The 25,779-nt window shown below is 40.4% G+C and overlaps 1 protein-coding gene across 5 annotated transcripts, besides 1 other annotated feature; it reads left to right on the forward strand.

Annotated features, from left to right (window-relative positions):
- Positions 1–3,421: 3,421 nt before the first annotated feature.
- Positions 3,422–25,779, forward strand: ZNF471 (zinc finger protein 471). 5 transcript variants are annotated; one of them, XM_011527148.2, is made up of 5 exons: positions 3,422–6,540; positions 7,084–7,171; positions 11,842–11,968; positions 14,049–14,144; positions 19,891–25,779. In XM_011527148.2, the coding sequence occupies exons 2-5, from the start codon at positions 7,139–7,141 to the stop codon at positions 21,513–21,515; spliced, it is 1,881 nt and encodes a 626-aa protein (XP_011525450.1). In that variant the 5' UTR covers positions 3,422–6,540; positions 7,084–7,138; the 3' UTR covers positions 21,516–25,779. The 5 variants fall into 5 exon arrangements, with proteins under 5 accessions (XP_011525450.1, XP_047295085.1, XP_047295084.1 ...); XM_047439129.1 differs by having other exon boundaries at positions 3,422–6,490; XM_047439128.1 differs by having other exon boundaries at positions 3,422–6,467.
- Positions 21,215–22,414: an enhancer, noted in NCBI's record as "P300/CBP strongly-dependent group 1 enhancer chr19:57037017-57038216 (GRCh37/hg19 assembly coordinates)". NCBI's record gives its function as "activates an origin of replication core promoter dependent on BRD2, BRD4, P300/CBP, MED14 and CDK7 cofactors, with strong dependence on P300/CBP, by STARR-seq in HCT116 cells {active_cell/tissue: HCT116}" and the evidence as "EXISTENCE:reporter gene assay evidence [ECO:0000049][PMID:35650434]".

Raw genomic sequence — 25,779 nt, forward strand, 5'->3', positions numbered from 1 at the left:
TCTTAAATGAAAAAGAGAGATAATAAGAATAAATGTATCCATTCTTCTTGCTTCAAGATTCTTGCAAAAGGCAAAAAACATCAAACTCCCATTAAAGTTTTGGCTATAGCTTGTCCTTCTTTAATTCATTCATTTAACAAAATGTATTGATAACCCACTATGTGCTTGACATCTACTTAGACACTGTAGAAGGAACAGAGGACAAGATACGGGTCATTTCTGCCCTGAAGAACATTATAATATAAGGCAGGGAAGAGGCTAACTAATGTTTGGACAATCAAATGATGTTACTACACTTGGGCACCACTGTTTAAGAATCCCTGGGCTGTAAATCAGGAACTGTGAGTTTGTTGGGATTCTGCCAGAGACTCTGACTCAGTGCTACTCCAGGAATTTTATCTTTCAGACCTCTCTTTCTTTTTGTAGGAATTCCTACTCTATCCCATATAAGCAAATCTCAGGGACTAAGCAAGTAGATGTTAGCAGTCAACCATATGTAAGATTCTTTTATAAAATTCAACATGATGGCGTGAATAAACTCACTATGCTACCACTGGTTGTGAAACCTGAAGAGATTAAACAAACTTTGCATTTTCTCAAAACAAACAAAAAAGAGTTTGTTAGAATTAATAAAGCTGACCCCAAGCTAGGATAAGTTGGATCCAGTGTCATACAAGGCCATTTCCAATTCTAAACAAATAACGTTGACCACATGGAGCCTGTGGGGAAAACTGGTCAACTCTCACCTGAAGTTCCAAAAGTTGAGAATATCATATTCTGTCCCAGAAATTAATTTGTAATCCAAATTCACCTGGTCACCAACACTGTTGTTAAATTTGATATTCTTCAGAAAGGAGTTAAGCTTAAAAATAGTGCACTGTTACAGGATGGAAAGAGTTCTGAATTTGGAAAGAAGAAACTTGAATTAGAGTAATACCTTTGAAACTTATTAGATGTGTGGCTTTGGAAAAAGTCCCTTATTGTTTAAATCTTCAACTGTAAAGTTAGTTATTCAATTTTATTTTTACAAGAATTATGTGAGATAATACCTTTGATGGCCCATGAACAAAAATGTGGTATATATAAAGTAAAAATTAGATAAAGAAAACATTATATATGTAATGTAATGATAATTTAATATATAGTATGATAATGGAAATACCCCTTACTTCCTTGGTGGGATGAATGAGGACAGAAGAATCAAAATAATCTCTTGTTATTGGTTGAATTTTGTCTGCCCCAAATTTTGCATGTTGAAGTCCTAACTCCCAGTACCTCAGAATGTGACTGTATTTGGATATAGGATTTTTACAGAGTTAATTAAGTTGAAATGAGGTCGTTAGGGTGGGTCCTAATGCAATCTGACTAGTCTCACCATGTCTCCATGGGTTTTCTCTGGGTACTCCAGATTCCTCCCACATCCCAAAGATGTGCACAGTAAGTTAACTGGTATGTCTAAGTTGTCCCAGTCTGAGTGAGTGTGGGTGTGTAGTAGGCTACACAATCTAGGTTTGTGTAAGTACACTCTATGATGTTTGCACAACAAGGTTCTTAGGAAATTGCCTAAGAACCCATTTCTCAGAATGTATCTCCATCCTTTAGCGATGTAGACTGTATTTCCATACTGTAAATAGTCCCCTTGTGGTGGATTTCAATCTACCAATATGACATCACTGAATGTGGAGTTAGAAAGAAAGGTACAGTTCATGGCTCTCAGTTCCTACAGCTCTTTTAATTTCCTAAATGACTGCAGCAATAAAGTATCTTTTGTTAAAATATCTGGCCTTTTGTTCCTGGTTCCTGAAAAAGCTCCAGAACAGCTCCAGAGCCATAAAGGTGAAAGACAGTATTTCAACCACACATGAGTTTATGTTAATGAGGTGATTTTTGGAAACTCTCAAGATAATCCCAATATTTGGGGGGAGTGGTGGCTAGTTGCCAGAGGAACCAGCCATGTGCTCAGAGGACTGGAACTCACAGCTCCACCCTCTACTTCTGGGAAAAGAGAGAGCCTGAAAATTAAGTTGATCGCCAGTGGCCAATGATTTAATCAATCACATCTACATAATGAAACCTTGAAAACCGAAAAGGCCTGAGTTCAAGCGGCTTCCAAGAAGGTAGACAAAAACACATCCTCGTGCTGGGAGGGTGGTGCACCCCAACTCCACGGGCACAGAAGTTCCTGCACTAGGGATTCTCTCGGACCTTGCCCTACATGTCTCTTCATCTGGCTATTTGTATCCTTTAAAATATCTTTTATAATAAACCAGTAAACATAAGTGTTTCCTTGAGTTCTGTGAGCTGCTCTAGCAAACTAATGGAACCCAAGGAGCCGGCTGTGGGAGCCCCAATTTATAGCACATCTCTCTGAAACACAGGTACAACAATCTGGAGTTTGGAATTGGCATGGGAAGTGGGGGACAGTCTTTTGGGACTGAGCTGTCTAACCTGTAGGATCTGATGTTTTCCAGGTAGCGTCAGAATTGAATTGGAGTAGCGGTCACCTGGCTGGTGTCTGCTGCAGACAGGTTTTTTTGACATGTTAAGACATTATAAGAGACAATAGAAAAAATGTATACGATACAACCTTCTCTGAGTTATATTTCTCCATAGCCCTTTTTACTGTTCATCAGACTGTTTATCTAACTCATGAATTTGTGGCTTGTCTCTCTCCGCTTCAAAGTAAATTACATAATAAGAGGACAGGGATTTTTTTTTCTCTGCTGTATCCCCCTGAATTGCTTTTCCTTATTTGTCTCACCTTCCAATACTAATTCTACAGTTCTCCTAGTCAGGGCTAGTCCCCTAAAACGGGGACCATTTCCATTTTGTTAAGGGGCTGAACGCGGTTCAAGCCTAGCAGATTGGTTCCAAAAACGTCGTGTTATTCACTGCCTCTGATCAGTGACATTCCCATTTGCAGCTGAAAGAGGTATTAATTCGCCAGAGTCACAACACGGTCGGGGTTCCTCGTCGCTGTCTTATTCCAAAATAAGCTTAACACAGAAAGATAATGACACTCCCACGGACTGGCACAGAAGGCCGCGCTCCGAATGACATCGCGATCACAGAGGCACAGACAGCGTCACAAAGCCCCACGCGTACTCACACCGAAGGCTCAGCCGTCGCGCGTTTCCCTCCCAGGCCCCAGGAACTAGTAACTAGGGACGCTTCTGGTCTCTAGGCGAGGAGAGGGGGAGAGCGCAATCTTTGCGCCTGCGCACACTCCTGCTCTTACCCGCCGGAACCCTGGGCCACGCCCGGCTCGCGTAATCACGCACTGCGCAGGCACCGCCCGCTCTGCTCTAAGGTCCCTCTCACTCCTTCAGCAGCCCGAGGACAATCCCCTCAACACTAGGCCACGCCTTGTCTCCGCCCCTCTCGTCCGACCCCTGGAGAGAGGCTGGCGCCTGCGCGATGGGGGGTTCCAGCGTCGACTCACGGAGTCCTTCGGATGAGAGCGTCTGGGTGCCAGACGAGGCCGGGGGTTTGTTTTGGGTGGTTTGGGAGTCCGAGCTCGAGGGCTGGGCCAGGAAGGGCAGGCGAGGCGGGCGGCTCCGACGCGGGTCGCGAAGGCCCAGCCGCGTCCTCTGTCCCCAGGACGACTACATTTCCCAGAGGCCAGCGGGGCGCGCGTACTCGAGTCTGCGGGGCGGAGGCCGCGGCTCGGGGCTGCTGGGCGTTCGGGGCGGCTTGGGGCGGCGGGACCACTGGAGTGAGCTGTGGGAGAGATGGGGGTGTGCCTGTGTGTAAAAGATCTGTCAGAGTGTGAGGCTCCGTGAGAGGGTGTGGTTTCTGTGTGTGTGTGTGTGTGTGTGTGACAGACCGAGAGTCCAGTGTGAGACCAGGGTATGTTCGTGTGTGACAGAGCGAGACGGGCCAGTGTGAGAGACCAGTGAGTGTGAGAGAGATAGGGATGTGCCTGCATTTGAAAGAGAGCGTGTGAAGCTCAGTGAGAGGTTGCGAGGTGTGTGGGTGTGTAAGTGTGTAACAGACCAGGTGTCCAGAGCGTGAGACCAGGATGTATTCGTGTGAGAGAGTGAGACGGGCTGGATGGAGTGTGAGAGACCAGTGAGTGTGAGAGATGGGCGTGTGCCTGTGTGTGAAAGGCCGGTCGGTCGGTGGGTGAGGCTCAATGAGAGGCCGGTGTGTGTTCGAGAGAGAGAAGAATCACCATGTATGCGAGACTAGACTGTGCAAGAACAGAGTGTGAGACTGTGGTATGTTAATGTGTGAAAGGGAGACCAGTGAGTGTGAGAAATGGGTGTTTTGGGTGAAAGACCCGTCAGTGTGTGAGGCCGTGTTATGTGTGTCTGACAGACTGAGAGAGACCAGAGTGTGAGACCAGGGTGTGTTCGTGTGTGAGAGACAACATAGCGTGAGACCAGTGAGTGTGAGAGAGATGAGCACGTGGCTGTGTGTGAAAGACCAGTCATTATGTGAGGCTCCTTGAGAGGCTGGTGTGTGTGTATGAGAGAGAGAAAGAGACTAAACTGTGAGAGTCCAAAGAGTGAGACTAGGTTATGTTGTTATGAGTTTGTGAGAGAGAGGGAGGCGATCAAAGTATAGGACAAAGTTATGTTTCCTGGCTTACGACTTCTAAGATCCTTGGAATCTCCAAAGTATTAAGTGTCTTTTTGCATGCTAATGATTGGTGGGCTGGCAGCCTGTAGGTTGATCACGGTAAGGGATGGTCACAAGAACAATCTAGGCAGGATTAGAGGGTTGGGATTACCTGCCCCATCCCTCAATCTCCAGGGAAAGGAAAGGGAGCCACAGGTTAAACTGATCATCAGTGGTCAGTGATTTAACCAGTCATGCCTACATTATGAAGCTTCCATAAAAACCCAAAAGGACTGGGTTCATCAAACTTCCAGATAGCTGAACACTGGAGGTTCCTGTAGGATGAGCCCCTTCCTATATAACCTTGTCCTATGCATTTCTTCACCTGCATCCTTTGTAATATCCTTTATTACTACAAACGTGTTTCCCTAAGTTCTGTGAGCTGCCCTAGCAAATTAATTGAACGCAAGGAGGGGGTCATAGGAACCCCGATTTATAGCTAGTCAGAAGCACAAGTAAAACAACCTGGGGTTTGCAACTGGCATTGGAAGTGGGGAGCAATTTTGTAGGGCTGAGCCCTCAACCTGTGGGATCTTATGCTGTCTCCAGGTAGATAGTGTCAGAATTGGGTTGCCCTAGAGGTCACCCACCTGGTATTCACTGGGTTGCCCTAGAGGTCACCCACCTGGTATTCACTGAAGAACTTATTGCTTGCCTGGTGTGTGTGTGTGTGTGTGTGTGTGTGTGTGTGTGTGTGTAGATCCCCACACATCTGGTCTTAGAACTGTTTTGTGTTGTGTGAGTGGAGTAGGAGAAACAGTTTGTTTTTCCTCTTTGTCACCTGAGTGTGTTATCAGGGACTGGATTGTGAGAATCCAGAGTGTGAGACCAGGGTATATCAATGTGTGAGAGAAATAGATGTGCCTGTGTGAAAGATGAACAAGTATGAGGCTCCCTGGAGTCTGAGAAAGATCATGTGTGTGTCTGAGTAAAAGCAAGAGACTAGACTGAGAGTTCAGTGATTGGGAGAGACTGGGGTATGTTGGTGTGAGTGTGTGAGAGACCAATGGGTATGTGAGAGACTAGAGTATGTCTCTGTCTGGACTGGTAGGTTGTGAGAGGGTGTATCACAGTATGAAAAAGATTGGAGTGAGAGTGACCAGTATGTATTTTGTGTGCATGAGATAAAGCAGTTGGAATATGAGAGATCAGAGTGTGTTTGTGTATCTGTGTGAGACACTGGAGCATTTGAGTAACTGAGGCCTCTTTGAAAGATACCATTGAATGTGTATGTATGAGAGACCATCATGTTTATATGTGTGAAAGAGGGAGAGAAAGACTAGTGATGTGGTTGTGTGAGAGACCAAAATGGGTGAGAAAGAAACTATGTGAACCATGGTGTGTTATCCAAAAGGCTTTACAAATATAACCTCTGTGAGGTTGTGAAGCATGCATGTGTGAGTGAGACAGAGATAAGGGACAGTGAGCTGTGTGTGTGAGAGAAGTAAGATTGGGGGTATGTGTGAAGGTGTTGGTGAATCACCACGTGTGCTTATATTCATGTCCTCAGGCAATGGAAATGTGACTGTGTATATGTGCTTGTTTTGGGGTGCTTGTGATTGTGTCCTCCGTGTGACCATGAAACCTGTGTTAGTGTTTGTATGTCACCCTGTATACCCATAATTGTGGCCCTGTATGACTGCTGTGTATGGAGAGACTACTTGGAAGATTGATAGGATTGGATTCTTTATGAGTGTGGCTGTTTGGAATTGTGTGTTGCCGGGATAGGAAATGTGGAATAGAATTCCTGTCCCCAGTCCAAGGGTTTCAGTAAGAAGCAAAGCTGGGGTGACTGAAGCTCCTAACTGAAGCAGGAGACACCCTCACTTCTGTGTGACAGGAGGGTAATTAAGGGGCTGGGACAGAGGTGAGAGTGAAAGTGGCAGAATTGAGTGCTAAAGGTTCCATCGTTTCAGGGTGAGGAAAGTGAAACAGTGCCGGGGGGTGGGTCAGGGATGCAGTGGTGGGGATTGAGTGAAGAAGGAGGATAACCCTGGCCTCTGGTGGCATTTGGGAGTCAGATTTTCCTTTTTCTTTTGTTTTTTTTTTTTTCCCAAAAACCCCATCCATCTGGCCCAGAAAGGAGCCAGATTTTCAAACAGTAGACTTTCAAAGCATGAAGCAGAGACCCAAGAAGAGAATGACTCCACCTTTACCTGTAAAATGGAGGAAATGACTATTTTATAGGATTATTTGAAAAATAAAGTGAGATAATCTAATCTATGCAGAGTACCTAATGCATCTGAATGGGAAGGTAGCTCTTTGAAAAAGATTAAATTTAGGACCTCAAGCATGAAAAAAAAAAACCGTTATGAGTTTTAGCCCTTCAGTGGCCATAGGTTGCTCATACCCAGTTATGGGATCAACCAAAGCTGGGAAGAAGAAGACAGTTTTAGGCTAGTGATTCTGGGAGTGCAGCATCTCTGGCCTCATCTCTCTCTAACCTTTCCCTTCCTTCAGCCTTGCCCTCCCAAGACACTGTTCTTCAAGAGAAAGACCAGAAGAGAAGGCAAAAATGAATGTTGAAGTAGTAAAAGTCATGCCCCAGGTTAGTGGATATTTTCTTTCTCTTCATGAAAGGCAGTCTTGCTGTTTAGGACTTTTTGTAATGCTTCTTTTCTTTTGAAAATTCCCTGATTAACAGTCCAGGAGCCTAGTTCCCACTTCTCTCAGGGGCCACTGTCTTTAACTCTAATTACCTAATGAGTGAGTAATAGCTTAGTATAAAAAGTCATGGAGGTCCCTCTGAGATTCCTCTTCCCACCTTGTGTACATTTTAAATTTAGTGTTGACTCTTGTGAAAAGACTTGATTTATGTTGTGTGGAATATACATGTGGATATGTTAGTACTAGTGAGTTGGGCTCCAGGTTAAATGTGCATGCAGTGCGTTTCCTATATATAGAATGCATTAGGAATTATTCCTCTACCTGAAGTTTTCTCCAAATCTCTAATTATGTCCTTAAGATAAATTCTTTAAAAGTTTTTCTTTACATTTTAAGTATGAATTACCAACCTCATTCGTTCACCTGAAAAATCTTATTCTACTTAATTTTTGCAAATTTTATAAATTTAAATAGGTGAGAAGTTGACATGGTACAAAATTTACAAACAAATTTCACCCTTAACTCCCAGTTATTTTAAGAAGTTATTCTCACCATGTATCTCATTCAGAGCTATGTTATGCCTTTGCGTGTATACAAAAATACTTTCTTCCCTTCAAAGTTAATGATTTTTCGTGTCTTGTTGATGAAATTTTTGTCTACCTTTAGGTCCTATTTTTCTTCTAAGATTTGTTTTATCCTTCACAGTTAAGTTTCTGGTAAGCTTAGACTTGATTTTTGTGGTTTTCTATCATGGTAGGGCTGAAATTACATTAACTTTTTATGTTAAATTTAATTTACATTAGATTTTTACATTTAATTTACATTACATTTTTACATTACATGTATAATTTATAATAAGTGAGGCAGAGATTTATTTTTTCAAGTTGGCACAATGGCATTAATTGAATTATTCATCTCATTCTCACTAATTTGAAATGCCACCTATATCATGCACTAAATTCCTGTGTGTATTTGGTTCTGTTGCTGTACTACACTCAGTTTTACTTGAATTTCTGCTTTTAATCTTTTAATTTTTAAATATTATATTGCACATGTATAAGAAACAATGTATAAAAAGGAATCCTTAATTCTCCCACTGTGAAATTCCCCTCCTCACATTTTTTCTAAGTGGAAAATGTGTTTTCATGACATACATGAGTGTCAGATGTCCATAATTAATGCTTAATTAATTTATATGCTTCATATGGAAAGTTACGTTAAATTAATTTTGAAACACTGCTTTTTTTTCTTGTGCTGTCAGAGTTCATGAGATATTAAAAAACATTTACATGGATTCTGGGCATCTGTGTCTTCCTCAGCATTAAAACCATTTTGTGAGTTACCTAACATAATTTTCCAAAGATACAGACCTTTTAGTTTGTGTGCCTCATGTTGTCATTAAAATTCTACCTGAAGTCACAAGCACCATACACAACAGAATTAGTCCCCTCCAATTTGCCCTATAGAAGTAAGTTGGGATCTCCACAATACAACTTACTGTCTTTAGTTTTGATATTTAACCTCATACTCCTGAATAATGTTCCATACACTATTTCTTGATTATTTTAGTTTTAGAAATGATCCAGTAACCTACTACTATAGATGATAAAGATGCAGTCCATTAACCCCACCACCTGAAATGCACACACACATGCTTATTTGATAGACTGTAAACATTATTCACTATTTTTGTTTTAAGTCAGTGTTCAGCGTAGCTTGGTGTCTTTCATCAATTTGGAAATTTTTCAACCACAAATATTCTGAAACTTTCCTCTTTTTCTAAGATCACAATTATATACATAACTGACACTGTTTTATATGTCACTTATGCTTTAATTCTCTCTTTAATTCTCTAATCTCCTGTTAAGCCCATAATGGAATTCTTAACTTCTGTTATTGCATACTTAGTTCTAGAATTTCTATTTAATTGTTTTATGTAATTTTCTATTTTCTTCCTGAATTCACTACCTTTCCTTTTAGCTCCTTAAAAATATTATCATAATATTTTGGTATCCTTGTTGGATAATTCCATTATCTGGATCTCTTATGTGTTTCTATTTTGTGATGTTTTGAAAATTATCTTGTTTTTTGTCTTAAATGCCTCATTTTGGGTTTAGTGCTAGACTTTATATATTTTTAAAAGATAGTTTGAAGCTTTGATGTCCTCCTCTTGAGAAGGTCTACTTAAAAAATAAATTTTATTTTTTAGAATAGTTTTAGATTTGTAGAAAAATTGCAGAGATAGTGTAGAGAAATCTTATACCACACCAAGCTTCCCCTATTAATATTTTACATTAGTGTGGTACTTTTGTTAAAATTAATGAACCAATATTGATATGTTATTAGTAACTAAAGTCCGTGCTTAGTTTAGATTTTCTTTCATTGTTTTAACTTTTTAATTTTTTTTTTTTTTTTTTTTTTGAGACAGAGTTTCACTCTGTCACCCAGGCTGGAGTGCAGTGGCAGGATCATAGCACACTATAACCTGCCTCTCCAGTTCAAGCAATTCTCGTGCCTCGGCCACTCGAGTAGCTGGGATTATAGGCATGCACCACCATGCACAGCCAATTTTTGTATTTTTGGTAGAGGTGGGGTTTTGCCATGTTGTCCTTGCCATGCTATGTAGGCTGGTCTTGAGCTCCTGGCCTCAAGTGATCTACCGGCCTTGGCCTCCCAAAGTGCTGGGATTATAAGTGTAAGCCACTGCACCCGGCCAGGCTTTCTTAGGTTTTATCTAATGTTTTTTTTCTGTGCCAGGATTCTATCTAGGAAATTACATTACATTTAATAGTCATATTTCCTAAGACTCCTCTTAGCTGTGATAGTTTTTCATACTTTGCTTATCGATGACCTTGTCAGCTTTGAGGAATACTCAGTTATTTTGTAGAATGTCTCAAATCTGATGCTTTTTCATGATTAGACTAGGGTACTGTGTTTTGGGGAGGAAGACTGCAGAGGTAAAGTTCCTTTTTCATCACATCAAATCAGGGGTGCACACTGTAAACATGATTTATTACTGTTGATGTTAATAGATGTTAACTTAATTAACTTTGAGGTAGTGTTTGTCAGGTTTCTCTATAATAAGGTTACTCTTTTTTCCCTCACTTTTCCATACTGTACTGTTTGTAAGGAAGTCACTATGCACAACCTACACTCCAGAAGTGGGAAATTATGTTCTACCTCCTTAAGGGCAAACATAAATCATTTGAAAGATCTTCTAAATGAGATATTTGCCTATTTTCCTCATTTATTTATTTAGTCTTAATTTAGTCACTTACTCAGTATTAATCCTCCTGGAAATTTCATAAATTATCTGATACCTTGCAATAAATGGTTGTGTCCTTAAAAAGAAAAAAGAATTACAAGCTCTTCAGATGCTATCCATTGGGATTTACTTCATTGGTTATAGCATTATCAGTTAAAAAAAATCACTACATATACATGCATACATATATGTAAAGTTATTCTATAGATATTGGTAAAATTCTGGTAGTATATATACTAGATTACTAACCATAAGTACCAGGATCAAAAGCAGTTTTTTCTGTGGGAACAGCCAAAGCTCCTCTGTCCTTAATAGTCAGCAAAATTATCCTAAATATTGGAAAGAATGTGAACACCTTTTGCTTGCATTGAGGAATACATCTCATTTTATAAGAATATGTGAAATGATGGTTCTTAGTTCTCAACTCACTAGAAGGTGAAAACTAGAATTCAGTAAAACTGTGAGTACACAGAGAAATGTAAACAATTTTGTAATTCTTTTATATGAAAAATATATTAAACATTTTCCTAAAGGTATGTATATCTTCTAAAGTCCCGTACATTGAATATCTGTTTAAAATGTGCTTTTAAACACTAATCTTCAGAACAAAGACATGATACAGAGATTACTGTTTAAAGCGAATTAAAATGTGCTCATAACCTTGTCTTTAGTTATATTTTTGATAACTTTGCAAATCAGGCACTAAGATTAAGAAGATATTCATTTTCAACGGAAGTAAATCTGAAGGTGAAAAATGCCCACAATAACTTTTAAAATTTCTTACAAGCTGCTGGTGATTATAACTGGTCATTAATTTTTCTCTAAGAATATTTAAAAGTTATAACTTCAATTTCATTTTGTTCTGCAACTGTGGGTTCTACCAACCGTGGGTGGAAAACACAGTATTCACTGATGCAGACCTAAGAAAATTGCATTCTTAAACATGTTTTTATTATTTAAGAAAAAAAAATCAGCTACATTAGTTCAATGCCTTTCTCCAGCCCCTGCCAATAAAACTTGGATCCCATGGAGTATCATTTGAAAAATATCAGTTTAGATATTCCTTTTATGCTTTTGAAGATTCAACACAGGTGTGTGTTCTCCCTTGAAGCCGTCTTCACTGCCTTGTAGTTATGCACCCATATTTCCCTATGTTCGGAATCGATTGGCCCCATTGTACCCAATGCAGTTAAACACTTCCATAAGTACTGTTTTGGCTTGGATCTTCCTATTTATGTTTTTTCTCTTCTATGAGTTATTTCTCACCTAAAGTAGAGACACTTTGGATCAACTCAGAGTTATCTTTGGACACGAGCATTGGTTGGTTAAGAATATATTTGTCACTTCAGGACTTAGTGACATTCAAGGATGTGGCAATAGATTTTTCCCAGGAAGAATGGCAATGGATGAACCCTGCTCAGAAGCGTTTATACAGGAGTATGATGTTGGAGAACTATCAGAGCCTGGTATCACTTGGTGAGGATCTTTTCCCTCCTGCATAATCTACCTTTAAGGAACTTTTTTGTCTATATATTATTAAATTTGCTTTTATTATATGTAGGTCAGAATGGAATTTGGGAATGGAATCTGAGAAACAGAGGATATTGAGGGACTGAAGAAAACTTGAGATTTAGAGTTAGTGAATTTGGAGAATATCAAATATTCCATGCATACACCCTTAAGGCAATTGGGAACACAAGACACAATGTGAATCTCACCAGTCTCCTCAGTTTCCTTGTTCTCTCTCTCCTACAGAATTACTATCACCACTAGACAACAACAAGGTTCACAAAGAATATATAGCTAGATTACTATAAATTCAGAATATCACTTTTAAAATCTGTATCTTTGTATTAAGTAACAAACTGAAGACACAAACTGAAAATGGCTTCAGATCACTTACTGTTAGGGAAATTCCTATGGACCTTTCTTCTAAGCACTGGGGCCACCCCATTGGCTAGATTAGCTTTCTGTTCTCCAGAAGCCCTTTTGATTATGCTTGTGGTTCATTGAGCTTCTTGAAACTAAATTTATATCTTAAACCAAATTTGGGAGATTTTTAGCCATTATTTCTTCAAATCTTTTTTTCTGTTCTTTTCTGTTTTGGACTTCAGTTACACCTATGTTAGATTGTTTGATATTGTGCCCTAGGTAACTAAGGATTGTTTCACTTTTAAAAATCTTTGTTCTGTTTTAATTTTAATTTTTCTCTCGCTCTCTTTTTTTTTTTTTTTTTGAGACAGTCTTGCTCTGTTGCCCAGGCTGGAGGGCAGTGGCGCAATCTTGGCCCACCACCTCCCAGGTTCAAGCAATTCTCCTGCCTTAGCCTCCCAAGTAGCTGGATTACAGGCACCCACCACCACACCCAGCTAATTTTTTTTTTTTTTTTTTTTTTGAAACGGAGTCTCGCTCTGTCGCCCAGGCTGGAGTGCAGTGGCACCATCTCGGCTCACTGCAAGCTCCGCCTCCTGGGTTCACGCCATTCTCCTGCCTCAGCCTCCTGAGTAGCTGGGACTACAGGTGCCTGCCACCACACCTGGCTAATTTTTTTGTATTTTTTTAGTAGAGATGGGGTTTCACCATGTTAGCCAGGATGGTCTTGATCTCCTGACCTCGTGATCTGCCCGCCTCAGCCTCCCAAAGTGCTGGGATTACAGGTGTGAGCTACTGTGCCTGACCTAATTTTTGTATTTTTAATAGAGACAGGGTTTCACTATGTTGCTCAGGTTGGTCTTGAACTCCTGACCTCAGGTGATCTGCCTACCTCAGCATCCCAAAGTGCTGGGATTACAGGCGTAAGCCACTGTGCCCAGCTCAGATTGGATAATTTCTGTTGATTCATAGTCAAATTCCCTGACTCTATCCTTACCCTCAATGTTTGGTTAGGTGCATCTAGTGAATTTTTAAGTTTCAGATGTTATATTTGTTAAATTATATAATATTTATTTGGTTCTTCTTGTAGTTTCGTTTCTGAGATATCCTGTGTGTACATTTATTTCAAGCATATTTGCCTTTATATTCTTAAGTATTGATATAATAATAGCTGTTTTTAAATCATGTGCTATTTCTTCTTCGTTATTGCAGTGTGAGCGTCTATTGCTTGCTTTTTCTAATGGGCATGATTCACTTTTTCCTTTTCTTATGTCAAGTAATTTTGAATTTTATCATGTATACTTAAATAAAACATTGTAGAGCCTCTGGATTCTGTCATATTCCCCTAAAGAGTATTGATTTTTTTCTAAAGCAGGCAATTATCTCAAAACTTCAAACTGTTTCTAGGGACCTTTTAAAATACCTCATTTACTACTGTGTGATAATATTCAGAAAATGTTGGGCTAAATTTCTGCCCTCAAGCCCCTCATAAAATAGTTCACAGAGTTAACTGTTAGCAGTCTTACTAGGCTATTCCAGAGTTTTATGTAGTCTGTCCTTCAGATGTGCTTTATCTCTTATCTAGTATTCCTACTATATCATTCCACCAGAATTAAGGTACTGGCTTTTAGTTCTGAAATAACCCAAAACATGACCAATTTTCATGTCTTTTTTTTATATGTAGGTCTTTGCATTTCTAAGCCATATGTGATCTCCTTATTGGAGCAAGGGAGAGAGCCTTGGGAGATGACGAGTGAGATGACAAGAAGCCCATTCTCAGGTGAGTGTGGAAGAACCAGAGAGGGGAATCTTTTTGACATAATGGCTCAGCCATTTTTAGAGGTGATACCTTCTCACTTATGCATCTCAGAAACTCTTCATAAGCCTTACAGGCCTGGAGAGAAAACTGAAACTTTATGCTTCACATGGGCCCCTCAAATATCTTCTCTTCCACTTGACTGTCTTCTCTCTAAGAACTAATATTCTGTAGAGATTAGAGAATCTTAAATCTCTAAGATTTTTGTTTTGCAAAAATCATTATCCAGCTCCTTACCATCCCGTCTTTCGCTTTGCCATACAGACTTATATAAACTTCTATGTTTCTTAAATCTTTTCTTAACTCTTGAATTAGGTACTGCTTACAAATTATAATGTACCCTGCTGCTCTTTCATTCCTTTCCTGTAGCAGATAGGAAAAATCTAAACCCTGTTAGCCTCTTCCTGATCAGCTCCTTCCTACTTCTATAACCTCATTCTTTATTACTTTTTAGCTTTTTCATTATACTTTAGTCCAGAGTTTGCTAAATTATGTGAGATACCCAGGGTATGTTTCAAGTGAGTTACAGGTATACCAAGCTACTGAGTCTCTCAAGAGCCTTGGGAGACTAGATGGCTCCAGAGGTAATTCCAAATCTGATTGCCTCTGAGTCACAGGCAGTATCATTCTTTTGCCTGCTCCACCTGTGTTTTACAAATGTCATATTAGGGTCAACTTTTCTGAACTCACCAAGCTTTTTACTGACTCAGGCATATGCACTTCCTGTTTCCTCTACCCAGAGTGTTCCTCTCCTGGGGTCTGTCTATCCTGAATATCAAATCAGAGCTAAAAAATCATCTCATCAGAGGCCTTCCCTAACCACCTTATGTGATGAACATTTCCCCATCCCAACCCAATAACTGTCCACCAAGCCACTGTTTATTTTCTTTCTAACACTCAGGAAAGCCTACAATTAACTTGCTTATGTTTAATGCTTATATTCTGCCTCTCCCACTGAAATTAAAGTTCCAAAAGAAAAGGGCATATCAATATATGCCCTTACAATTATGGCTTAAAGCATTCTCCTTTCCCTTCTGTAACAGTGTTTGATCTTTTGGAATAATTTGGATCCTAAATTTCCCGTGTCCTCCAAATACAATAGTCCCCCTATTCAAGGTTTTGCCTTCTGCAGTTTGTTACCCACAGTCCACCACTGTCCAAAAATATTAAATGGAAAATTCCAGAAGTAAACAATTTATATGTTTTAAATTGTGCACCATTCTGAGTTGTATGACGAAGTCTTGCACCTTTCTGTTCTGTCCTGCCCAGATCATGAATCATCCCTTTGTCTAGCACATCCATGCTGTATGCCCTACCTGCCTTTTAGTCTCTTAGTCTCGTCTAGCTTTTCAGATCTGTTGTGTGTAGTGAATATAGGGTTCAGTATCATTCCGGGTTTCTGGCGTCCACTGGGTCTTGAAATGTGTCCACTGTGGATAAGGAGGGATGACTATACCCACACATCAGAAGGGAAATAGACCCTGCTTGGATGTACTTTATACTTTGGTTTTGTATGAAGATGCCATCTGCCTCAAATAGAGAAACAGAAAAGAACTTTCCTGATAATTGGCCCTGTGAAGAACAAGTGGAAGAAGGGAAAAGGGGAAAAGGAAGAAGCTATAAGTCTGGTGGGATGCTGAGTCAATGTGTAGATATAAGTATTATTGTATGCATAAGATATCTTAGTGTCTGTTAAAAAAGGCCAGGAAATGAGGAACAACCATGGCTCTCTGTAGGAAATTGGAGTTGAAGACAATCTTCATGTGACAAAAAAGTAAAATGTGAGAAAACAGTAGATGATGGACTCAGCATTCTGTGTCTTTTTCTAGTATTGTTCTCTTCAGTCTGTCTACGTAGGAAAAATTATAGGTGATTAGTTCATTAACCCCACATTGCCTCAATTCTTGAAGCATGGGTGCCCTGGTCTGAATGTTTGTGTGCCCCTGAAATTCATGTTGAAATCATCTTCTCTAGAGTGCTGGTGGTAGGTGGGGACCTTGGGAGGTGATTAGGTCATGAGGGCTCATGAGTGGGATTATTACCTTTATAAAAGGCCCAAAGGAGCTTCCTTGCCCCTTCCACTGTGTGAGGAAACAGGAAGAAGGCACCATCTGTGAGAAAGCCAGCCCATGCCATGGGCCTTGATCTTGGATTTCCCAGTCTGCAGATCTGTGAGAAATAAATTAGCCATGGCCGGCTAATTTTTTATAAGTGTATTAGTCTGTTTAGTTATAAGTGTTGTTTGTAAGTGTATTAGTCTGTTCTCAAGCTGCTAATAAAGACATACCTGAGACTGGGTAGTTTATAAAGGAAAGAGGTTTAATTGACTTTTAGTGCCACATGGCTGGGGAGCCCTGACAGTCATGGCAGAAAGCAAAGGAGGAGCAAAGTCACTTCTTACATGGTGGCAGTCAGGAGAGAGCTTGTGCAGGGGGACTCCCATTTACAAAACCATCAGATCTCGTGAGACTTATTCACTGCCAGTGAACAGTATGGGGGAAACTGCCCCCATGATTGAATTATCTCCACCTGGCCCCACCCTTGACATGTGGGTATTACTACAATTCAAGATGAGATTTGTGTGGGGACACAGCCAAACCACATCAATAAGCTACCCACTATGTGGTACAGTCATGGGCCACATAAACAATGTATCTATCCATTATGGACTGCATATAAGACAGTCACACAAGATTATGATGGAACTGCCCTATACAGGTATAACTTTAAAAAAATCTCTTCTGGCTAGGCGTGGTGGCTCATGCCCATAATCCCAGCACTTTGGGAGGCCGAGGCAGGCAGATCACGAGGTCAGGAGATTGAGACCATCCTGGCTAACATGGTGAAACCCCGTCTCTGTTAAAAATACAAAAAAATTAGCTGGGCATGGTGGCATGTGCCTGTAGTCCCAGCTACTCGAGAGGCTGAGGCAGGAGAATGGCATGAACCCGGGAGGCAGAACTTGCAGTGAGCCGAGATTGCGCCACTGCACTCCAGCCCGGGCAACAGAGCAAGACTCTGTCTCAAAAAAAAAAAAAAAAAAAAACTCTTCTATTGCTGGGCATGGTAGCTCACACCTATAATCGCAGCACTTTGAGAGGCTGAGGTGGGAGGATTGGTTCAGCAGGAGTTCCAGACCAGCCTGGGCAACAGCAAGACCTCATCCCTACTAAAAATAAAAAATTAGCTGGGCATGGTGGCATGCACTTGGTACTCCCAGCTACTCAGGAAGCTAAGGCAGAAGGATCACTTGAGCCCAGGAGTTTGAGGATGCAGTGAGCCATGATCATGCCATTGTACTCCAGCCTGATGACAGAGGGGACCCTGTCTCAAAAAATATATATAAAATGTCCTCATAGCATATTTTACTGTACCTTCTTTATGTTTGTATATGTTTAGATACAAAAATACCATTGTGCTTCAGTTGCCTATAGTATTCAGTGGTAACATGTTGTGCAGGCTTGTAGACCAGGAGCAGTAGGCCATATAGCCTAAGTGTGCAGCAGGCTACACCATCCATCAAGGTTTGTATAAGTACGCTCTGTAATTGCCCATCCGTAATGATGCATTTCTCAGAGCATTTCTCCATCATTAAGTGACACAAGACTATTTTGTTATAGCAACCCAAGTTATTCAAGACACTGGATATTCCTGATACCATGAAGACCTGGACTACAAAGCATGTTAATACCTCAAAACCTTTCTTGACTGCTCTAGTGGATTTGATCTCTCCCATCTCTGAACTTTTATAACAATTTAATCTTTATCTCACACTTGATTATGTTTTGTATTATCTTCTCAAAACTTTTTTTGTTGGTCTTGTCTTCCTAAATTACTTTCTAAACTTTTCAAGAACAATTCCTTCATTACTTTGATATCACAAATGCTTAGTGCATAATGTATAATTGCTTAGGAAATATTGGATTAGTCGATGATTTGCTATGGATGACATAGAAAAGGAAAGCCCTTCCTTTGCCTTTTCTTGAAACCACCTTTTCCCTCAGGTTTTCTCTCAGTATCATCTCTTCAATACAAATTTCTTTATATTTTACTGATAACTTTGTATATATGCCCAGATTTCTTCTATCTATGGTAAGTGATGTAGCAATATATTTTTTCTTTTTTTCTTTTTTTTTTTTTGAGATGGAGTTTCATTCTTGTCACCCAGGCTGGAGTGCAATGGCACAGTCTTGGCTCACTGCAACCTATGCCTCCTGGGTTCAAGCAATTTTCCTGCTTTAGCCTCCCAGGTAGCTGGGATTACAGGCAGGTGACACCATGCCCCGCTAATTTTGTGTTTTTAGTAGAGACAGGGTTACACCACATTGGCCAGGCTGGTCTCTAACTTCTGACCTCAGGTGACATGCCCGCCTTGGCCTCCCAAAGTGCTGGGATTACAGGCATGAGCCATTGCACCTGGCCGATGTTGCAATAATTTTTAAAGCACATTTATTCCTTCTGTAAACTTATATTCTAGGTCAGGAGTTAAGAAAGTTACTCGTGGTAGTAAATAAGAATGTGATTAATAGTAGTTATATCAACCTACATATCATTATAAAATTCATTTCTTCAAAAGGGGAAATGGTAAAACCCTGTTAAGCAGTGGCTTAAGGTGCTGGGTGCAGTGGCTCACACCTGTAATCCTAGCTACTCAAGAGAAGGTGGGAAGATTGCTTAAGCCCAGGAGTTAGTGAGCCATGATCATGCCACTGCACTCCAGCCCGGACAACTGAGTGAAACCCTCTTTTTTTTTTTTTTTTATAAAAAGGTGGTCTAAGAGGTGATAATTTTACCAGGCTGTTGAAAGTAAGATGAAAGGGAAAATCTCTTAATATGCAGATTAAAGTTCAGGGAACTCTGAGAATTGGAGAGTTTGCTGTATTGAAACATGTAGATGATTTCATAGGAACACCATTTTCACATTATGAAAAGATAACCATAGGATTTCACCTAAATCCTAAGATAATCACAAGCCATAGGGTATATGGTTACTGGAGATCTCCAGAGACTTTTCAGCAGCAGTAGTGATACGATATTGGTATTTAAACAAAGTTAACATAACTGTATATGAAAACCAATTACAAGTGGAAGAGAGTAGATGAAGAGAGCTTAATTTATAGTCTGTTAGGTCAATACAGGCATGAAATATTACCATTGCAGACTACTTCTCTAGGATTTCATCCTACATTGAGGTTTTTGTTTTTGTTTTTTGTTTTTGTTTTTGTTTTGAGACAGGGTCTTGCTCTGTTGCCTAAGCTGGAGTGCAGTAGGGCAATCATGGCTCACTGCAGTCTCAACCTCCTGGGCTCAAGTGATCCTCTGACCTCAGCCTCCTGAGTAACTGGGAATATAGGCATGTACCACCATGCTTGACTAATTTTTGTGTTTTTTGCAGAGATGGTGTTTTGCCATGTTGCCCAGGCTGGTCTTGAACTCCTGGGCTCAAGCAATCCACCTCAGCCTCCTAAAGTGCTGGGATTATAGGCCTAAACCACTACACCTAGCCCATTTCGCTTTCTTAGTCACCTCTCCCATGTTCCTTCATGAGCTGTCTTTCTTGGGGTCTCCCTGAATGTTTTCCAGTTGACATGCCTGTACATAACAGGTTTTGTGAGATTTATTAAATATTTTTAAATTACCTTTTTCACAATGTCTCCTTTGTTGTAGCCCATGATAAAGGGAACATTCACTTTTTTTTAATATCTTTCAGATTGGGAATCTATATATGTGACACAGGAATTACCTCTGAAGCAGTTCATGTATGATGATGCATGCATGGAGGGAATTACTAGCTATGGACTTGAGTGTTCCACTTTTGAAGAAAATTGGAAATGGGAAGACCTTTTTGAGAAGCAGATGGGAAGTCATGAGATGTTTAGCAAGAAAGAAATAATCACTCATAAAGAAACCATCACTAAGGAAACAGAATTCAAATATACTAAATTTGGGAAATGTATCCATCTGGAAAACATAGAAGAGAGTATTTATAATCACACATCAGATAAAAAAAGCTTCTCCAAAAATTCTATGGTAATAAAACACAAGAAAGTCTATGTAGGAAAGAAGCTTTTTAAATGTAATGAATGTGACAAAACCTTCACCCATAGCTCATCCCTTACTGTTCATTTTAGAATTCATACTGGTGAAAAACCATATGCATGTGAGGAATGTGGAAAAGCCTTCAAGCAAAGGCAACACCTTGCTCAACATCACAGAACACATACTGGAGAGAAACTCTTTGAATGTAAAGAATGTAGGAAAGCCTTCAAACAAAGTGAACACCTTATTCAGCATCAAAGAATTCATACTGGAGAAAAACCATATAAATGTAAGGAATGCAGAAAAGCCTTCAGACAGCCTGCACACCTTGCTCAGCATCAGAGAATTCATACTGGAGAGAAACCCTATGAATGTAAAGAATGTGGCAAAGCCTTCAGTGATGGCTCGTCTTTTGCTCGACATCAGAGATGTCACACTGGCAAAAGACCCTATGAATGTATTGAGTGTGGGAAGGCTTTTAGGTATAACACATCTTTTATTCGTCACTGGAGGAGTTATCATACTGGAGAGAAGCCTTTTAATTGCATTGATTGTGGGAAAGCCTTCAGTGTTCACATAGGACTTATTCTGCATAGGAGAATTCATACAGGAGAGAAACCTTACAAATGTGGTGTGTGTGGAAAAACCTTCAGCTCGGGTTCATCCCGTACTGTACATCAGAGAATTCATACAGGAGAGAAACCTTATGAATGTGATATATGTGGGAAAGATTTTAGCCATCATGCATCACTCACTCAGCATCAAAGAGTACATTCTGGAGAGAAACCGTATGAATGCAAGGAATGTGGGAAAGCCTTTAGGCAGAATGTACACCTTGTTAGTCATTTGAGAATTCATACTGGTGAAAAACCCTATGAATGTAAAGAATGTGGAAAAGCTTTTAGAATCAGTTCACAGCTGGCTACTCATCAGAGAATTCATACTGGAGAGAAGCCTTATGAATGTATTGAATGTGGAAATGCTTTCAAACAGAGATCACACCTTGCCCAACATCAGAAAACTCATACAGGAGAGAAACCTTATGAGTGTAATGAATGCGGGAAAGCCTTCAGCCAAACTTCCAATCTTACTCAACATCAAAGAATTCATACTGGAGAGAAACCCTATAAATGTACTGAATGTGGAAAGGCTTTTAGTGATAGCTCATCCTGTGCTCAGCATCAAAGACTCCACACTGGCCAAAGGCCCTATCAGTGTTTTGAATGTGGGAAGGCGTTCAGAAGAAAGTTATCCTTAATTTGTCATCAAAGAAGTCATACTGGAGAAGAACCTTAAGAATGTAGTGCATGTGGCCAAGCCTTTAGTTATCACCAATCCCCTACTGTTAATCAGAGATGTCCCACTGGATAAAAAACATATAAATGTAAGAAATGTAGAAAAACCTTCAGCCAGGAGGCTGGCAAGATGGCCGAATAGGAACAGCTCTGATCTGCAGTTCCCAGTGAGATCAACGCAGAAGGTGGGTGCTTTCTGTATTTCCAGCTGAGGTACCTGGCTCATCTCATTGGGACTGGTTAGACAGTGGGTGCAGCCCACGGAGGGTGAGCTGAAGCAGGGTGGGGCGTAACCTCACCTGGGAAGTGCAAGGAGTCGGGGATCTCCCTCCCCTAGCCAAGGGAAGCCATGAGGGACTGTGCCATGAGGAATGGTGCACTCCGGCACAGATACTACGCTTTTCCCATGGTCTTCGCAACCCACAGACCAGGAGATCCCCCTTGGGTGCCTATGCCACCAAGGCCCTGGGTTTCAAGCACAAAACTGGGCGGCCATTCGGGCAGACACCGAGCTAGCTGTAGGAGTTTTTTTGATAGCCCAGTGGCACCTGGAATGCCAGTGAAACAGAACCGCTTACTCCCTTGTTAAGGGGGCTGAAGCCGGGGAGCCAAGTGGTTCCCATGCCCACTGAGCCCAGCAAGCTAAGATCCACTGGCTTGGAATTCTCCCTGCCAGCACAGCAGTCTGAAGTCAACCTGGGATGATCAAGCTTGGTGGGGGGAGGGGCGCCAACCATTACCAAAGCTTGAATAGGTGGTTTTCCCCTCACAGCGTAAACAAAGCCATGGGGAAGTTCCAGCTGAGCAGAGCCCTCCACAGCTCAGCAAAGCCTCTGTAGCCAGACTGCCTCTCTAGATTCCTCCTCTCTGGGCAGCGCATCTTTGAAAAAAGTGCAGATAAAACCCTCATCTCCCTGGGACAAAGCACGTGGGGGAAAGGGGTGGCTGTGGGCACAGCTTCAGCAGACTTAAACATTCCTGCCTGCCAGCTCTGAAGAGAGCAGCAGTTCTTCCAGCACAGCGCTTGAGCTCTGCTAAGGGACAGACTGCCTCCTCAAGTGGGTCCCTGACCCCCATGCCTCCTGACGGGGAGACACCTCCCAGCAGGGGTCCACAGACACCTCATACAGGAGAGCTCTGGCTGGCATCTGGTGGGTGCCCCTCTGGGACAAAGCTTCCAGAGGAAGGAACAGGCAGCAATCTTTGCTGTTCTGCAGCCTCCACCGGTGATACCCAGGCAGATATGGTCTGGAGTGGACCTCCAGCAAACTCCAGCAGACCTGCAGCCGAGGGGCCTCACTGTTAGAAGGAAAACTAACAGGAATATAATCAACATCAACAAAGGACATCCACACAGAAACCCCATCTGAAGGTTACCAGCATCAAAGACCAAAGGTAGATAAATTCACGAAGATGAGGAGAAACCAGTGCAAAAAGCCTGAAAATTCCAAAAACCAGAATGCCTCTTCTCCTCCAAAGGATCACAACTCCTTGCCGGCAAGGGAACAAAACTGGATAGAGAATGAGTTTGACAAATTGACAGAAGTAGGCTTCAGAAGGTGGGAAATAACAAACTCCTCTGAGCTAAAGGAGCATGTTCTAACCCAATGCAAGGAAGCTAAGAACCTTGAAAAAAGGTTAGAGGAATTGCTAACTAGAATAACCAGTTTAGAGAAGAACATAAATGACCTGATGGAGCTGAAAAACACAGCATGAGAACTTCGTGAAGCATACAGAAGAAAAACCTTCAGCCAGATTGAATGCTTTACAGGGAAGAATTCATACTGCAGAGCGGTCTTAACAATGTAAAGAATGTGCAAATGTCCTCAGACAAGATGCACACCTTGCTCATTAGTGAGTTCATTTCAGGCAGCCAGCTCTTCCTCACCCACTACATCACCAAGTCCTGTGGATATATCTGCTAAATATTTTTGGAATTTATCCACTTCTTTTGGTTCCCCAGTCCAAAACACAGTCATTTCACCTGGACTATTTCAATCATTACACAGGTGTCCAACCTTTTGTCTTCCCTGGGCCACATTGGAAGAAGAAAAATTGTCTTGTGCCACACATACAATACACTAACATTAACAATAGCTGATGAGCTAAGAAAAAAAAAAAGTCTGTGCATAGTTTTAGTGATACACCACCTCCGATAAGCAAAAAAGTCCTCACATTCAATGGGTTGCATACCCATGAATTCTAAAACTTCATCCTCTTTTGTCCCTTTCGAGTTAACATTACAGCCACAGTGACCTTTCAAAAATGCAAATTAAGTTACTCTTAAAACTCTAGTTAAAATACTTGATGTACATAAAGTGCTTAGCAAAATGACCAACTCATACTAAGTGCTTAGTAAATGTTAGATAAGTATTCTCCAGAATTGATGTAAATTATTTTTAAACAGTGCATTCTTGAAAGCAGTATGGCAGTCATAAAAATTTTGGAACCAAAACAGTATCTTTTTTTAAGCTAAAAAAAAAGTTTTAAATGGTGTCTTTCTATGTTGCCCAGGGTGGTCTCAAACTCCTGTGCTCAAGTGACCCTCCCACCTCATTCTCAAGTGGCTGCAATTACAGGCAACCAGCCTGACTTAAAACAGTATCTTAAGGTAGATGGTGATTAGCACATGTAGTATGCTTAACATTTAATATTATAATAAGACATCACAGCGGCTGTCTCATGATTAAGGCTGTGTTCCCTTGTTGGTGAGGAAATTAATTATGACTTGATAAATAGAACATGTTTTAAGAAGTGGCTATATAGCTCTGGATAAAACGAACAAAAGAATTAGAATTCCTGCGGGGAATATATACAAGACTTTATTTAGTCAAGTAAAAAAAAATCACTAATGTTTAACTGAAGAAAGAGAAATTGAATAATATAGTTCTATTTCAACATGTGGGTTCACAGATTTATTCTAACCTTCCAAGTAAAGTTGTTCCACTAGTAAAGTTGTTCTGGAGTATATTTTTTTTAAAAAAAACACTTAAAATGTTCCACTTCTTTCATGAGGCTAAGTCAACTCTGATATCAAACCAAGGGGAAAGAAATGAAATTATAGGTGAGTTTACTTAGTTATATACAAAAGGAAATTATTAGCCTCTGCTGATGGAGAACAGAGGCTGTGAATAAATGGAGATCCATAACATGATCCTACATGAATGTTTCAATATTGTAATCCTGTAAGTTACTTTTACATTGACAGTTCTGAAATTCATGTTGAGTGTTAATTAGGCAGGAATCAGAAGGGAGGTTTTGTAGAAGGTCGTATCCATGGGTTTTTTATATTTGAAAAGTGTTTTCGATGTATCATTGGGGGAGATTAAATGTCTTTGACAGTTGTCCAACTAGAAATAAAGTCAGCATCCCATTTGACTCCTTACACAGAAGTTCATTCTATACTCATTACAGATGTAAGAGGTTAAGATGGTAGAGGAGAATGTAGAGTATTTCTGTGCCTTTAGGTTCAGGAGGTCTTTGATAAGCAGGACAAGGTCCAGAAGCCATGAAGAGAGAATGACAGGACTGTGTAGAAGATTTAAACCTTTTTCATGGCGTAAGATACTGTATGCAAAGTTAAAAGGCATATGACAGGCTGAGAGATATCTTAAACATACATTAGAAAGGATATAGCCCTTGAAAAAGGGCTGTTGGAAAGCAGCAAGGATAAGGTGCACAGTCTTGCAGAGCATGTCAACAAAATTTATTGGATGAAGAAATTAAAATGGTTAAATAGAAGAAGTTCTCAACCTCACTAATGATCAGATAAGTGCAGATTGTAAAAGTCCTCATCCCCACCAACACAAACCAGCAGAAATTTTATGTGAATGTGAAGTTTGGATAATATCCAGTATTGTCGCAGGTGTGAGAAACCGTATTTTCAAATATTGAGAGGGTAAATTAGAGGAAAGCCATTTTAGAGGGCAATGTGGTGTTACCTGTCAGCATTTTGAATATAATTACCCTTTGCCACAATTCTACACCTAGTCAGTTATGTTCTCAAAAAGCACAAGTGCAGAAATATAGATGCATAAGCAAATGTGTTGCAGAATTGTGAAAAATTTGGAAAAAATGTTTAGTGCTATTAAAGTTATGGGTTACTTAAGTTACAGAAAATCAGTTTAGTAGATCACTGTGTAGTTACGGAAAATGAGATGGATCTCTACTCAAAGATGTCTTGCAGTTTATGAACTGAGATGTAACTTCATGACTAACATGATGACATCGTTATTAACTACATAAACTTTATAAAGCTTAAAAAA

Source organism: Homo sapiens, chromosome 19 (assembly GCF_000001405.40).
Source record: "Homo sapiens chromosome 19, GRCh38.p14 Primary Assembly".
Lineage (NCBI taxonomy): Eukaryota > Metazoa > Chordata > Mammalia > Primates > Hominidae > Homo > Homo sapiens.

Excerpts from the sequence above, each read along its gene's own strand:
- ZNF471 (XM_011527148.2), top strand. The coding sequence starts at position 7,139 with ATGAATGTTGAAGTAGTAAAAGTCATGCCCCAG. Across the intron at positions 7,172-11,841 it reads TAGTAAAAGTCATGCCCCAG|GACTTAGTGACATTCAAGGA; the intron begins GTTAGTGGATAT and ends TTGTCACTTCAG. Across the intron at positions 14,145-19,890 it reads GACAAGAAGCCCATTCTCAG|ATTGGGAATCTATATATGTG; the intron begins GTGAGTGTGGAA and ends AATATCTTTCAG.